The sequence below is a fragment of the Homo sapiens genome, chromosome 2, assembly GCF_000001405.40.
Source record: "Homo sapiens chromosome 2, GRCh38.p14 Primary Assembly".
In the NCBI taxonomy this organism is placed as follows: Eukaryota; Metazoa; Chordata; class Mammalia; order Primates; family Hominidae; genus Homo; species Homo sapiens.
Genome location: NC_000002.12, coordinates 213,273,906 through 213,288,435, shown reverse-complemented (window position 1 = coordinate 213,288,435; position 14,530 = coordinate 213,273,906). Strand labels below are relative to the sequence as shown.

Below are 14,530 nucleotides of genomic sequence, written 5' to 3'. Positions count from 1 at the left end.
CTACTCGGGAGGCTGGGGCAGCAGAATGGCACGAATCCGGGAGGCAGAGCTTGCAGTGAGCCGAGATCGTGCCACTACACTCCAGCCTGGGAGACAGAGCGAGACTCCGTCTCAAAAAATAAAATAAAATAAGGAAAACTTCAATTTTAATTAAAGTTATCAGTCAACATTACTATGGCAATGAAAGACTAGATAGAACTGTTACTTAAGAAGACAGCAGCCTGGTACAGTGGCTCATGTCTGTAATCCCAGCACTTTGGGAGGCCAAGGCAGTAGGATGCCTTGAGCACAGGAGTTCGAGACCAATCTGAATAGCAGAGTGAGACCCCCGTCTCTACCAAAAACAAAAACAAACAAACAAAATTAGCTGGGTATGGTGCCGCACATCTGCAGTCCCCGCTACTCAGGAAGCTGAGGTGGGAAGATTGCTCGAGCCCAGGAATTTGAAGTTGCAGTGAGCTATGATCATGCCACTGTACTCAAGCCTGGGTAGCAGAGCAATACCTCATCTCTAAAAAAATAATAATTTTTTTTAAAGGTAGCATGGTAGAAGTTAAGATATTTATCTACAGGCTTGCTACTTCAATTACAGTCCTCAGTATCTCAGATAAGGGCATCAGTCTAGTGTGATCCTCATATTTCAGGGTCTAGAGTCCTTAATTTTGGAGTTTCAGAAAGAGTTGACTTTGGGACTCCATTCAGAGCTGATTAGCTTCACAGAACTGGCTTAAACTTACTGAACTCTCAGAAATTGCTGCTGGGGGTTGGGGAGCCTTTTTCATTGGCCAGTAAACTTACACCTACCATCTAAAAAGCCAAATCCTTAGTATTAGAATGCCCAGAGAGAGGAAATAATCAAAAGCTAGAGGAGCCAGATGTCCATATTGAGGGAGGTATGTAACAAAAACAATACCTTGAAGCTCCACTTTCCTAGGGTCCATGTATTCATTTACTATTCCTTGAACAAAGTCTCTTTAGACAAGGAACAACAAAGTCAATTAACCCTTAGCTTTCTTAGTACAAATTCATGCTGGCCTTCCAATTGGAACTAGGCAGTCCCAAATGTCTGCAGCCATACATTAATAGGCAGCCCTTCCTCACTACTACAGTTGAAAACCTCACCCAAGTTGTGTTGATTTCTAATAAGGGATTCATTCATTCACAAAAGACAATCAACCTTCTTTCTAGGTTCTGGAGATACCTACTTGACCCTTTACATATCTATCACATAGCTAAAATCTCACCTTATAGTTTATAATGCTGCAAGTATTTTTCTAATGATGGGTTCTAGAGAGGATTCATATACTCCATAACTCAATTTCTTAGTGTTCTGACAATAGCTAAGAACAATGTATATTTGTATCTCACCTTGTTGAAGTCTAAAACATAAAAGCAATGATATTCTGGGTTCCTTAGAAGAGAAATAGGTGGCACTGTTACAGCTAGGAGATTACAGGGAAAGGGTGTTGCAGGGTAAGAACTCTTTTTCCTGAACCCAGTGTGTAAACCATTATAAAGGACATGGGACCTTCATTAATGTCCCCCACAAGATGGATCCTGGCTGTTTCTGGTTTGGACATTAGTCTATTCATACTCTTCATAATTGAGTATTTAAAAGCAGAAAAGTGGGAGATTTCCTAAAGAATTCAAGTCAACTTCTTTCAAAGTCTTGCTCGATATTGATAGCTCATTGTCTAATGTACTAGGAGCATCTGTTGAGTGATAAATAAGGGAAATCCAGGCCAAATGCAGTAGATTAGAAGTGATTGAGTATATGTGCGAAGCAGAGGACATCAGATTTCTGATTCATCTGTGCATATTATAACTTTTATTTACCCACCATGATAGCTCAATTAAATTACCTGAAAGCAAAGACTTTAAACCAAAGGAAGTCTCACTTTGGCAACTATCATAATTGCCTTAAGAAACAATGTCAAACAACATTACACAGGCAACTCTTAATTAACCATGTGAAGAGTGCCCAGGGATACAGGAATAATTGGTATTCACAAGTAATCCTCAAACTTCATTTCAACTGAGAGTTGAAATGACTAAACCTCTTCCCTCAGCATGGAATATAGCAAAATAAACTGGTTAAATGTTTAACTGTGTATCCCCTGACTACCATTTGGTTAAAATACAAAATAGCAGTCAGTCAACCAAAGAAAGAAGAAAAGCAAATGGGTTGGATAATTCACACAACGGTTAGTAAAATCCTAAAAAGTTACAGTTGCTTATATGTGTTAAAGTTCAAATAAGTGTGATTATTTGAAAAAGTCTTTGTAAGACAGGTTTGCAAACTGCTACATCTTGGCAGGTGTGACTCAGTGATCTCCCTGCACATTAAGTAAACCTGATTTTCATTGCTGAAAGTTGTGTTATGTTAGACTCCTACCATTTATTTCACAAAGATGTTTGCAAAAAGTTACCTCATTGTGTCAATCTCATGTTAACAATTAAACTATGTGTTCACGGAAATAATTTTAATGCAAACAAAATTACAAGATGCCTGGTTACCATTCAGTAGCAAGGGCACTGGATATAGATAAGCTTAGGAAGAATTATGAAAATCGTTGTTAAAGAGGAATATCACTGGAAAAGACTGCCTGTTACATCTACGAAAACAGTATAAAACCTCATTTATGACACTAAAGCACCCATATATTTCTTTCAAATTCATTTCAAGCGATTCAAATTTCTATTCCTGTAAAAGTCGTTTTTGCACCCAATAAAATACTACATATTTTCTTTAATCTTTCAGCTAAATTCTTCAAAGCTCTCTGTAGTGTGGATGTGTACTGAGCCTGAGTCAGGACAGGTTAATCGGCTTGTCAAAGCTCACGAAATGAATCATTGCTGGATTTCTGAAATCTTGAATTAAACCTGGAGAGGATTACAGTTGGACAAACAAATAAGATTTGGCAGATTTTGGAGTTTCCTTGGTATCTTTAAGAACTGAACAGATAATCATCTCTTTCTTACCTCCCTGAATAAAGGAGTTACATGTCTTTTTCTCATGAACCCTCCCCGTCTCCCTAGTAGGAATTAATCTATATAACTAGAGGAAAGAAGTTCTAAAGCCTTACACAAGAAATAGTGGACCTAATTATCCACACATTGTTATTCAATTTTTCTGGTACTTCCGATAAAAATCGCTAATCACCATCTGCTTTATTCCTAATATCTCTGAGCTGTGTAGCTCACCAGATCATTATTTATTTGCTCAAGAAAAAAAAGCAACTATACTATTAGTATTTATTATTAAGTAGTCAAACTTGGAACTACTCAGGAAGATAATGCTATCAAAACTAAGCATTTAAGCATTAACTGGACCATCGAACAGGATCGTGGGTTGGGTATTCTGAGCTTCAGCTCCTTAAAGTCCAATGGCAGAGGTCTTTCCCTAGTCTCCTAACGTTCCTCCGTTGAATTTATTGGGACGGCTTTCTGAAAGATTGAGGGCTTATTTAGGAAACCCATTATTTGAAAGGAGGGTTGAAGCAATTTGTTGTGCTGTCTTAACATAAAAAGCAACCCTCCATCCAAAATGTACTGAGTGGTTACTAAGTATGAGGCCTTGGAAGGTCTCCCAACTCTTCTAACAGGTACAGGACACCCTGGGCTACTAAGGGCGAGAAATTCAGTGAGTGGCTCTCAGGAAGACTGTGGTGGCAAAAACAGCACCTTGAAGTCCAACAGAGGCTCCTCCGGAGTGGCCCCAAGGCTCAAAAGGCGCCGCCAGTGGGAGGCCCTCGCCTTCGTCCCAACACCCATTACCCGCCAGCGCAGCGGGCCGCGCCTCCACGGGAAGGATACGTTCCAGGTAGTAGGCGCCCTCAGCCGCCACCGCGTCCGCCGTGTCCCTCGCGTCCCCGGCTGCCGTCAAACCCATGCCCAACGCCTCTTCCAGGACCCTCACGGCGGAGCTGGGCATCCCTCGCTGAGCAGCCATCTCTGGCGCTTCGGGCCCCCACCCCCAGCAGGCCCACAGCCGTCCCTAAGGGCAACAGCGAAGACGCTACCCAACGGCCCCCGGGAGCTCTCGCGAGATTCCGGCATCTCTCACCCCGCCCCACGGACCAGCCCCGGGCACGTAAGGGTTACCGGGAGTCCAGGGAGCTGTCGCCCTCCCGCGCCTCCCAGTTACCGTGGCAACGATGTTGCCTAGTTAACGCGAGAGCTCGGGCGCAGCTCTGGGAGCGGACAAGATACAGTAAACAATTGGCTTGCATTGCACCTTCCTACCCAAGCAGCTTGGTTTTCTTTCGCTTTGACCCTGTAATTTCTTTCCCACTTCGTTGTCGTCTCTGAATTACCTTTCTCTTGATTCTTGCCCATTAGCATCCTCCAATTTCAGATGTTTGTAGATCCCCAAGTGTTCCCAGGGAAAACTACTAGAAAAGGTGAGTTCTCAACACCTGGAATTTTTTAAAAAATGAAAAAATAAAGTTCTAGAAATCATAATAGAAAGACTGACCCAGGGGAGCTACCAGACGCTCCTCAGATGCTTAGCAATGAAGAACTATGGTGTTCAGCTTTGTCAATTCCTTTCTTGTGATCTTTAATGCATTTAGCTGGACATCTGTTTTGAGTTTGGTTCCATATACTAAGACTTGGAATAGTATTTGTAGCATTGATTCTCGCCAAGGTAAAAACAGTTGCATAAAAATTATGAGCTACAAATTTGGTCCTGACAAATGTATGCAGTTGACACTTGCCCCATCATGTATAGTCTTATTGCTGAGAGGATCTTCCTCAGGTTATATCGCGTATGTATCAGAAGCAAATTCAAGGCCCTTTTCTTTGCAAATATTTTTTTTTCCCTTAACTTTTATTTTAGGTTCAGGGGTACAAGTGCAGGTAAGCTCATGTCGCAGGGGTTTGGTATATAACTTATTTCGTCACCCAGGTACTAAGTGTAGTACCCAATAGTTATTTTTTCTGATCTTCTCCCTCCTCCCACTCTCCTCCTCAAGTAGGCCCCAGTGTCTGTTGTTCCTTCTTTGTGTCCATTTGTTCTCATTATTTAGCTCCCACTTACAACTAAGAACATGCAGTATTTGGTTTTCTGTTCCTGCATTAGTTTGCTAAGGATAATGGCCTCCAGCTGCATTCATGTCCCTGAGAGGACATGATCTCATTCTTCTGTGGCTGCATAGTATTCCATGGTATATGTGTACCACATTTTCTTTATCCAGTCCGTTGATGGGCATTTAGGTTGAATCCATGTCTTTATCATGAATATCAATGAACACGCATGTACATGTGTTTTTATGGTAGAACAATTTCTGTTTCTTTGGGTATATACCCAGTAATGGGATTGCTAGGGCAAATGGTATTATTTTTCATTCTACATTTCTTGGTGAAAACTGGAAGCCAGTGATCCTATAAAAGCTCCCATTTATTACCAAAAGGTAGCAGTAACTTCCTAAGGAGGTGTTTGAGAGTACGTGTGTCAGAGCCAGAGAGACAGCTTTCAGAGCCTGCTTCCATCACTTACTAGCTATGACACATTGGGCAAACTACTACTTAATGCCTCTAGGCCCCAGTTTCATCATTTGTAGAACAAAGACAACAATATTACCTACCTCAAAGTGCTGTTGCAAGGGGTAAAGCAACAAAAAGCATTAAGAACTTACTGGGAACATAGAAGACACTAAGAAATGTTAGCTGTTATTTCTATTAAATGTGTTTGATATTGTTTTATTTTTTAGAATAATCAAGGGTCACAGATATAATAGTCGGGTAATTCATTCCTGGTACCTATTCTTTTACTACCCTACTCTTTGTCCTTGACTTCTCACATCAGACATTTCCTGAGTACTCATTAAATGCAAGGAACAATTACAGGAGGCTGAAAATACAGAAGAATTCTGACATTGGAGAATCCACTGCTTTTACAGAAAGCTTTCTCTTTATTTCAGAAGAAGGCATTACCTTATCTCTCAAGGTTGTTTCCTATAAATCCAGCCTTAACAAATGACCTGGGTAAGGAGTGGTCAAGGCCTTACATTTTTGGCATATCCAGCAAGACATGTAGGAACACAAAAGACATGAAGGATGGTCTCTCAGAGCGATTACTGTTTACTTTTATTTGTTTTTGTTCGTTACAATGGCTCATCTATTTCTGACTTTTTAGATGTAGTGTGTGATCTTCTACAGATGTTTGTCTCCTGCCTCTTCTGTATGACCTTAATTAAGTTCTCTGAGCCTTAGTTTCCTGTTCTGTAAACCGGAGATTTTAGTACCTACCTTACTAAAGTATGAAGACTAAACGAAATATGTAGAAAGCACTTATAACCATGTCTGGTATATCAAATGTTTTCAGTAAATAATCGTTAATAAAATGTGCTTAAAATATTGAATGAATATGCAAGCTTAAATTAGATATTATATTTGGAAGAAACTTAAACATATAGAAACAACTTAAGATAAAAGTTAAATATTTTTAGAAATATGCAGCACTCAGCCAGGCACGGTGGCTCACGCCTGTAATCCCAGCACTTTAGGAGGCCAAGGCAGACGGATCACAAGGTCAGGAGATCGAGACCATCCTTGATAACATAGTGAAACCCCATCTCTACGAAAAATACAAAAAATTAGCCGGGTGTGGTGGCACATGCCTGTAGTCCCAGCTACTCAGGAGGCTGAGGCAGGAGAATCACTGCAACCCGGGAGGCAGAGGTTGCAGTGAGCTGAGATCACGCCACTGCACTCCAGCCTGGACAACAGAGCAAGACTCCATCTCAAAAAAAAAAAAGAAAGAAAGAAAGAAAAAGAACGAAATATGCAGCACTCAAAAAAGGGAAACAGTTTAATAGAGTCATATAAAATGAATAAATTGTGACCAATATCCACTGCTTAATGTAGAGGAGAAATGGGAAAAAATTCTTCTCCAAAGAGTTCAAAAACAGAAGACTTATGACTGAAATAAGTATCATTAACTACACTCCTCAAACAAATAAAAACCTGTAAGTCTAATTCTGTGAAGTTTTCAAGTAGCCAAAATTTTAATTCAGAGTTACTATTTTGATTATATCCATTTCATGGATTTCAAAATTGGAAGTCACCCAAGATATTTGTGGTTCAACTACAATTTGAAACACATTTCACAGGGACCTAAGCAGAAGTGGTTTTAAAAATTCCAATTAAAGCTATGTTAACATTTTCTTTTGTAAACCTTTTGGTCTCTACGATGGTTTGAAAAGCAATGAAATAAAAGCAAAAAATAATTTTAACAAATATAAACAGAACCAATAATTGCCTTCAAGTAAAAACTTGATGCAACCTTTTAGGAGGACTGCTAATATCTTTAAACTAGTATGTATTTTCAAGGAACAAATTTGAAAATAAATGTGTTACATTTGAATTTTTATTCTGTTAATAACTAGTTTAATTAAAAAGAAGTATGAAAGCTTTACTGAGAAAGAACAAAAACTTCAGACCACAGTAATTGTTTGGTTTATAATGCCTTTGCATCCTATAATATTTCCTTTTTAATATACTGCACAAACTTCCTTGGAGTGGAAAAAAAGTGCCTTAATATTTTGATGAATGAACAGCAAACTATCTACTTTCCCTTTGAATGTGTTACTGAAAAAGGTAAATAAAGAAAACCAATGGAGACAGTAAAAATAAAGCAACAACCACAAAAGACAACAAATTTTATCTCCTCCCAGCCTAAATGCTCCGTTTATGTAAAAGTGAAATTATTTTAAAAAGCAAAACCAGAAAGGAAGCTGACAATGGATGTACTCTTTTTATTTTTAGTTTTAAAGCAGAAAATAATTACATGCAATAATACAGTAAAGTGCTATTCAATTTTCAGAAGTTACGAGCATTCATTTGCTATAGATAGAGCCCAAGCCATTTACTGATGCATCTCTTTATAAAAGTAACTATCTTATTTTCTTTCAAGACTTCACTGTAAGTGGTGGCCAATTTTAGATTTCTGAATTCATAGAAGTAGTACTAATTGACAATGGTGGAAAAGTATCATTTCAAACATACAGCATATATATTTCACTTTTTCACCAACAACCACTGAAAACTCATTTCTCTAGTGTTCTGAGCCCATGTAGTTCAAACAGGGTCAATCCTCTGTCTCTGGCAAGGAACATATGTTCCAGGTTTAACCCAAAAGAATATCTCATTATTCTTGGCTACTGTGATCAGTTCTGAAGTTGGTATGTGTCTTAAAAGGAGCCAAATTAGATTTGGTAAGAATTTGTTGGAAATTTTGGGAGATTCGTACTCTGCCCCTTGGGACTTAGTTCTGGAGTTGCTCCAGCATGATTGCAAGTATGAAGAAATTATCTATCTAAGAATTGAGTCAGCATGGAAGACCTGAGTGAAGAAAGAGAAAACTTAAGCCCAGATACAATGACTTAAACCTGTATATACACACATTTATTTCTTTGCTCTATAAGCTAGAAGCAAGAACACCCCCATTACAATGAGCACTTCAGATTTTAGATGTTAACACCATTTTCTAATTAAAAGGATAGAGGGCTCCTTGGAGAGATGGCTGGTTTTAGGGCTTGACTGGGAATAAACAAGATGAGCCTAGAGGATCTTACAGTTCCAGAAAGTAAAAAAGATCCCACCTCTAAAAAAAAAATCTCAAAGTGATGGACATAGGTCAAAAGGACACAGCAGCCAATTGTCCTAGGTGAAGCTAGGACAATTTGAGCAATCAAATTAATAAAGTAGTACTGAAATATAACTCAAAGTATAAAAGAAATATCTGTGAGTCCATACTGATACAAATAAATGATTAAATGATAAATAAATGAATGGAGAAGAATGGGAAAATCTCCCGTGATGAATAATTTCAAGTAATTTATGTAGATACTCTACATTCCAGGAGATGGAGCATAGCTGCATGTTCCTTAAGTATAGACTACACATAGTGAGTTTCTTGTATAGTAAAATCCCAACTTGACAGTGAAGAAAGCTGATAAACACCACCACACCCAGGTGATCAAGATTAATTTCAACAGTGATAAGTCATGTTGACAATATGTACTCTTGGTATGATGTAATGAGAATGGCACTTCATCTCTGTGATCTTACTCCCCAAAACCAATAACCACAAATCAATCAAGAGATAACATCAGATAAATATCAACTGAGGGAAATTCTACAACATACCTTACCAGTACTTCTCAAAACTATCAACATCATTGTATTAGTCCATTTTCACACTGCTGATAAAGACATATGCAAGACTGAGCAATTTACAAAAGAAACAGGTTTAACTGGACTCACAGTTTCATGTGGCTGGGGAGGCCTCATAATCATGGCAGAAGGCAAGAAGGAGCAAGTAATTTCTTACATTGATGGTGGCAAGCAAAGAGAGCTAGTACAGGGAACTCCCGTTTTTAAAACCATCAGATCTAATGGGACTGATTCACTACCACAAGAACAGTATGGGAGAAACCAGCCCCATGATTCAATTATCTCCCACCAGGTTCCTCCCACAACATGTGGGAATTATGGGAGTATAATTCAAGATGAGATTTGGACGGAGACAGCCAAACAATATCATTCCACCCCTGGCCCCTCCCAAATCTCATGTCCTCACATATTAAAACCAATCCTGCATTCCTAACAGTCCCCTAAAGTCTTAACTCATTTCAGCAATAACCTAAAAGTGCACAGTACAAAGTATCATCTGACACAAGGCAAGTCCCTTCTACCTATGATCCTGTAAAATCAAAAGCAAGTTAGTTAATTCCTAGATACAGTGGGGTTACAGGGATTGGGTAAATACAGCCATTCCAGATGAGAGACATTGGCCAAACAAAGGAGCTACAGGCTCCATGCAAGTCCAAACTCCAGCAAGGCAGTCAAATCTTAAAGCTCCAAAATGATCTCCTTTTACTCCGTGTCTCACATCCAGGTCAAGCTGATGCAAGAGATGGTTTCCCATGGTCTTGGGCAGCTCCACCCCTGTGGCTTTGCAGGGTACAATCTCCCTCCTGGCTGCTTTCATGGGCTGGCATTGAGTGTCTGCAGCTTTTCCAGGTGCACAGTGCAAGCTATCGGTGGATCTACCTTTCTGGGGTATGATGGACAGTGGCCCTCTTCTTAACGGCTCCACTAGGCAGTGCCCCAGTAGGGACTGTGTGCGGGGGCCCTGACCCCACATTTCCCTTCTGCACTGCCCTAGCAGAGGTTCTCCATGAGAGCCCCGCCCCTGCAGCAAACTTCTGCGCGGACATCCAGGCGTTTCCATACATCCTCTGAGACCTAGGTGGAGGTTCCCAAACCCCAATTCTTGACTTCTGTGCACAGGCAGGCTCAACACCATACAGAAGCTGCCAAGGCTTCAGGCTTGCACCCTGTGAAGCCATGGCCCAAGCTCTACTTTGGCCCCTTTCAGCCACGGCTAGAGCAGCTGGGACACAGGGCACCAAGTCCCTAGACTGCACACAGCATGGGGACCCTGGGACCAGCCCTCAAAACCACTTTTTCCTCCTATACTTCCAGGCCTGTGATGAGAAGGGCTGCCGTGAAGACCTCTCACATGCCCTGGAGGCATTTTTCCTATTGTCTTGGGGATTAACATTCGGTTACTTGTTACTTACGCAAATTTCTGCAACTGGCTTGAATTTCTCGTCAGAAAATGGGATTTTTCTTTTCTATCACATTGTCAGGCTGCAAATTTTCCGAACATTTATGCTCTGCTTCCCTTATAAAACTGAATGCCTTTAACAGCACCCAAGTCACCTCTTGAATGCTTTGCTGCTTAGAAATTTCTTCTGCCAGATACCCTAAATTATCTCTCTCAAGTTCAAAGTTCGACAAATCTCTAGGGCAGGGGCAAAATGCCACTAATCTCTTTATTAAAACATAACAAGAGCCACCTTTGCTCCAGTTCCCAACAAGGTCCTCATCTCCATCTGAGATTACCTCAGCCTGGATTTCATTGTCCATATTGCTATCAGCATTTTGGGCAAAGCCATTCAACAAGTCTCTAGGAAGTTCCAAACTCTCCGACATTTTCCTGTCTTCTGAGCCCTCCAAGCTGTTCCAACCTCTGCCTATTACAAAGTTCCAAAGTTGCTTTCACATTTTTGGCTGTCTTTTCAGCAACACCCCACTCCTGGAACCAATTTACTGTATTAGTCTGTTTTCATGCTGCTAATAAAAACATACCTGAGACTGGGCAATTTACAAAATAAAGAGGTTTAATTGGACTCACAGTTCCACGTGGCTGAGGAGGCCTCAGAATCATGGTGGAAGGCAAGGAGGAGCAAGTCACATCTTATATCAATGTCAGCAGGCAAAGAGAGCTTGTGCAGGGAACTCCTGTTTTGAAAACCATCAGATCTTGTGTGACTTATTCACTACCACAAGAACAGTATGGGGGAAACCACCCCCATGATTTAATTTTCTCCCACAGAATTTTTCCCTCAACATGTGAGAATTATGGGAGTACAATTCAAGATGATATTTGGGTGGGACACAGCCAAACCATATCAATCATCAAACAAGAAAAGAGGGAAACTTTCACAACCAAGAGATCCCTAAAGAGGTATGCTGACTGAATGTAATGTGGGATCCTAGGGCAAAAAGAATATTATGTAAAAACGAAGGATATCTGAATAAAGTATGGACTTTATTTAGTTAATAATAATGTGTCAATAATGGTTCATTAGATGTAACAAATGCACCATATTGATGTAAGATGTTCAAAGTAGGGAAAACTGAATATGAGTATATGGGAACTTTCTTTATCTTTGCAACTTCTTGGTACATCTAAAACTATTCTGAAATAAAAAAATTTTTAAAGAGTTGCTTGAACCTTTATTCTAACATTTCCTTAAACAAGCCTCACCATTGACCTTTCTTTTAAAACAATAAATTCCTTTTGCTTAAGTCAGTTTCTGTTGGGCTTTCTGTCACTTGCAATTCAACAAGACCTCCTGGTAAATTGACTCTGTATGGAATCACCATTACTTCCATACTATTTCAAGATTTGTTTTGCTGCTGAGGGTTTTTTCCTAAAACTATCTGATATACAATAACATTGTATTGTGTACTTTAAAATGTGTTGAGAGGGTAGACCTCATATTCAGTGTTCTTACCACACACAAAAGGGCTAATATGATGTGCCTTTGTGAATTTAGACCTGAAAGTGCTATTCTCATGACACAGATGAAAAAATATGGTTTGTTTTCATACATAGGAGAAAACTGAATGGGCTACCTTTGAAGTCCAGGGCACCCTCCTCTATCTTGTTCACTTCCTCATCAGGCACTATCTATGGACTGAGAAGAGAAGGACTTTAAAACAGTGGTAAAGAAAGCAACAAAGACAATGACTGGCAAGACAGAAGAATTGTGCAGAGAAAGAGGTAGATAGAAATGGAAGTCTGTTGTTCCCCTCTATGTGTCTATGTGTTTTCATCATTTTGCTCCCACTGATACGTGAGAACATGCCACATTTGGTTTTCTGTTCCTGTGTTAGTTTGGTAAGGATAATGCCCTCCAGCTCTATCCATGTCCCTGCAAAGAACGTGATCTCATTCTTTTTAATGGGTGTAAAGTATTCCATGGTGTATATGTACCACAACACCCCTGAACTTAACTTAAAAGTTAAAAATAAAAAATAAAAAAGGAAAAGCTGAGTTAAGCTATACTATCTTTGTAACTCTTCTGTAAATCTAAAATTCTATCAAAATAAAAAGTTTTAAATGTATTTAAAAAAGAAATGGAAGTCTGACTTGGGAAAGCATTATGACAATTCTAGCAGTGAACATTTAACACACATCTAATGCCCACTTTGAGCAGTGGAGACTTGCTTAAGAAAATTCCACTGTTCGATATGCAGTGGGGTATACAGCAATTTCCAAGACAGTCTTGCTGGAGAGAGCCTTCTTCCAGCCATTGCAAGTTCTCCTGATCCTCAACTGTCACATCCTATACCTGAAACAGAGTAGATTTATCTAAAGTATTGTGTAATCCCTGATTGACTTTAACATGTCTTAGCATGTCTACAATTATGCATATTACATGAAAGAAGAAAGAGACAGAAATAGGGAGGAAGGAAGGAAGGAAAGAAAGAAGGAGAAGAAAAAAATTTTTTCTAAGCACATAATGCAATGCTCAATTCTTTTTAGATAATGGGAAGCAGAGTTTGAATTGTTCCCTTTGTAAAAGATAACTCATTTTAGCTCCATTTCCTTCCTGGAGGTAGGAAAGCAAGTTTGGTAGTGAATAGGCCAGTTAGTACATCGTATCCAAGCTGGTCAGATCCTGGGACTGTTGAGACAGATTCTTGTGCACAGAACCACACAAATCAGAGATTCAGAAAACATGAGAGTAATGAAAGCTAAGACCCATATGTGAAATACATAAGGGTTAGTCAGATTTTAATTAAAAATGTATTTTTTTTTAGAGACAGGGTCTCCCTCTGTCACCCAGGATGGAATGCAGTGGCATGATCATAACTCACTGTAGCCTCAAATTTATGAGCCCAAGGAAGCCTCCCACCTCAACCTCCTGAGTAGCTGGAATAGCTGAGACTACAGATGCATGCCACAATGCCCAGATTTTTCTTTTCTTTTTCTTTTTCTTTTTTTTTTTTTTTTTGAGACAGGATCTCACTGCACTACCCAGGCTGGTCTTGAACTCCTGGCCTCAAGTAATCCTCACACCTTGGCCCTCTAAATTGCTGGGATTATAGGCATGGGCTACCATGCCAGGCCCCTAAAAAATATATTTTTTTATGATAAGCCACTTCTGCAGTTCAATATGTGTACTTGCTTTAAACCCTACTTTGAATCTAAATTACTTCCTTGATGTTAATTGAATTAAGGTCTAGAGGTACCCTCCTACCTGACACAGACACACCCTGATTTTCAGGACTTACGTATTTCATAAATCCTTATCAATAACTTTATAAATTAATTAGGCACAAGCAGATGATTGTAAAGTTTTCATAAAATTTGTAGAAGAAAAATAATTTGTGTTTATAAGAATATCACAGGAACTTTAGAGACAGTAGTTGCTGATGACAAACTAGAGCAGGAGAAAGGTTTCCTGAGACAAGGATGGTACAATTATGCTGACAGCTATGACGGCTTCAATTTTCCCTACTTTAACTACAACCTATGAAAACTGACATCCTATCAATATTCCCTAGCATTACTCTTGCATTTACAGCACAATGTTATTTTTAAATTCTTTAATAATTCCAATATCCAGACAAAGTTTACTTATGTAAATCTACCCATTCATTACCATTTTTTCATATTTACCTACTTTAAACAGTCAATGCTTTGGAATCTTTTTTTGTTTTTACGTAGAAACATTTGAAACATTAAAAAAGAAATAGAATATAAAATATTCAGATGAGTGAACTTAGCAGCCAGGGAACATTTGAATAAGGATGATTGTTCCCAGAGACTGAGACAGTTGAAAATTATTGCTGGTTGATCACGAATTTTTAATAAACATCCCAGAAAATCCAATGGCTACTCGATTATAAACTTGAATTTAGAGGGAAATAAATATTCTAT

The 14,530-nt window shown here is 39.3% G+C and overlaps 1 protein-coding gene and 1 long non-coding RNA gene across 21 annotated transcripts in view, besides 3 other annotated features; one reads left to right on the top strand and one right to left on the bottom strand.

The window, feature by feature from the left end:
* The window catches only part of SPAG16 (sperm associated antigen 16), a 1,126,038-nt gene extending 1,122,066 nt beyond the window's left edge, over nucleotides 1–3,972 (bottom strand). For 17 of the 19 annotated variants that reach the window (NR_047660.2, NM_024532.5, XM_011511820.3 and 14 more), the window contains exon 1: nucleotides 3,817–3,972. Coding sequence is in view for 17 of the 19 variants with exons in the window: in NM_024532.5 (NP_078808.3) it covers nucleotides 3,817–3,952 (136 nt within the window). In the remaining 2 variants the exon portion in view is untranslated. Of the gene's footprint in view, nucleotides 1–2,517; nucleotides 2,551–3,684 lie in introns of all 19 variants that reach the window. The other 2 variants (NR_047659.2, XM_011511814.2) reach the window with 2 other exon arrangements.
* Nucleotides 3,570–3,649: an enhancer, noted in NCBI's record as "active region_17066". NCBI's record gives its function as "activates an Ori minimal core promoter by ATAC-STARR-seq in GM12878 lymphoblastoid cells {active_cell/tissue: GM12878}" and the evidence as "EXISTENCE:reporter gene assay evidence [ECO:0000049][PMID:35858748]".
* Nucleotides 3,720–3,769: an enhancer, noted in NCBI's record as "active region_17065". NCBI's record gives its function as "activates an Ori minimal core promoter by ATAC-STARR-seq in GM12878 lymphoblastoid cells {active_cell/tissue: GM12878}" and the evidence as "EXISTENCE:reporter gene assay evidence [ECO:0000049][PMID:35858748]".
* Nucleotides 3,810–3,939: an enhancer, noted in NCBI's record as "active region_17064". NCBI's record gives its function as "activates an Ori minimal core promoter by ATAC-STARR-seq in GM12878 lymphoblastoid cells {active_cell/tissue: GM12878}" and the evidence as "EXISTENCE:reporter gene assay evidence [ECO:0000049][PMID:35858748]".
* On the top strand, nucleotides 4,227–12,650 carry SPAG16-DT (SPAG16 divergent transcript). Of its 2 annotated transcripts, NR_161186.1 has the most exons (3): nucleotides 4,227–4,403; nucleotides 9,905–10,068; nucleotides 10,495–12,650. It is a non-coding gene; the product is annotated as an SPAG16 divergent transcript (long non-coding RNA). The 2 variants fall into 2 exon arrangements; NR_144752.1 differs by lacking the exon at nucleotides 9,905–10,068 and having other exon boundaries at nucleotides 12,197–12,650.
* Nucleotides 12,651–14,530: the final 1,880 nt, after the last annotated feature.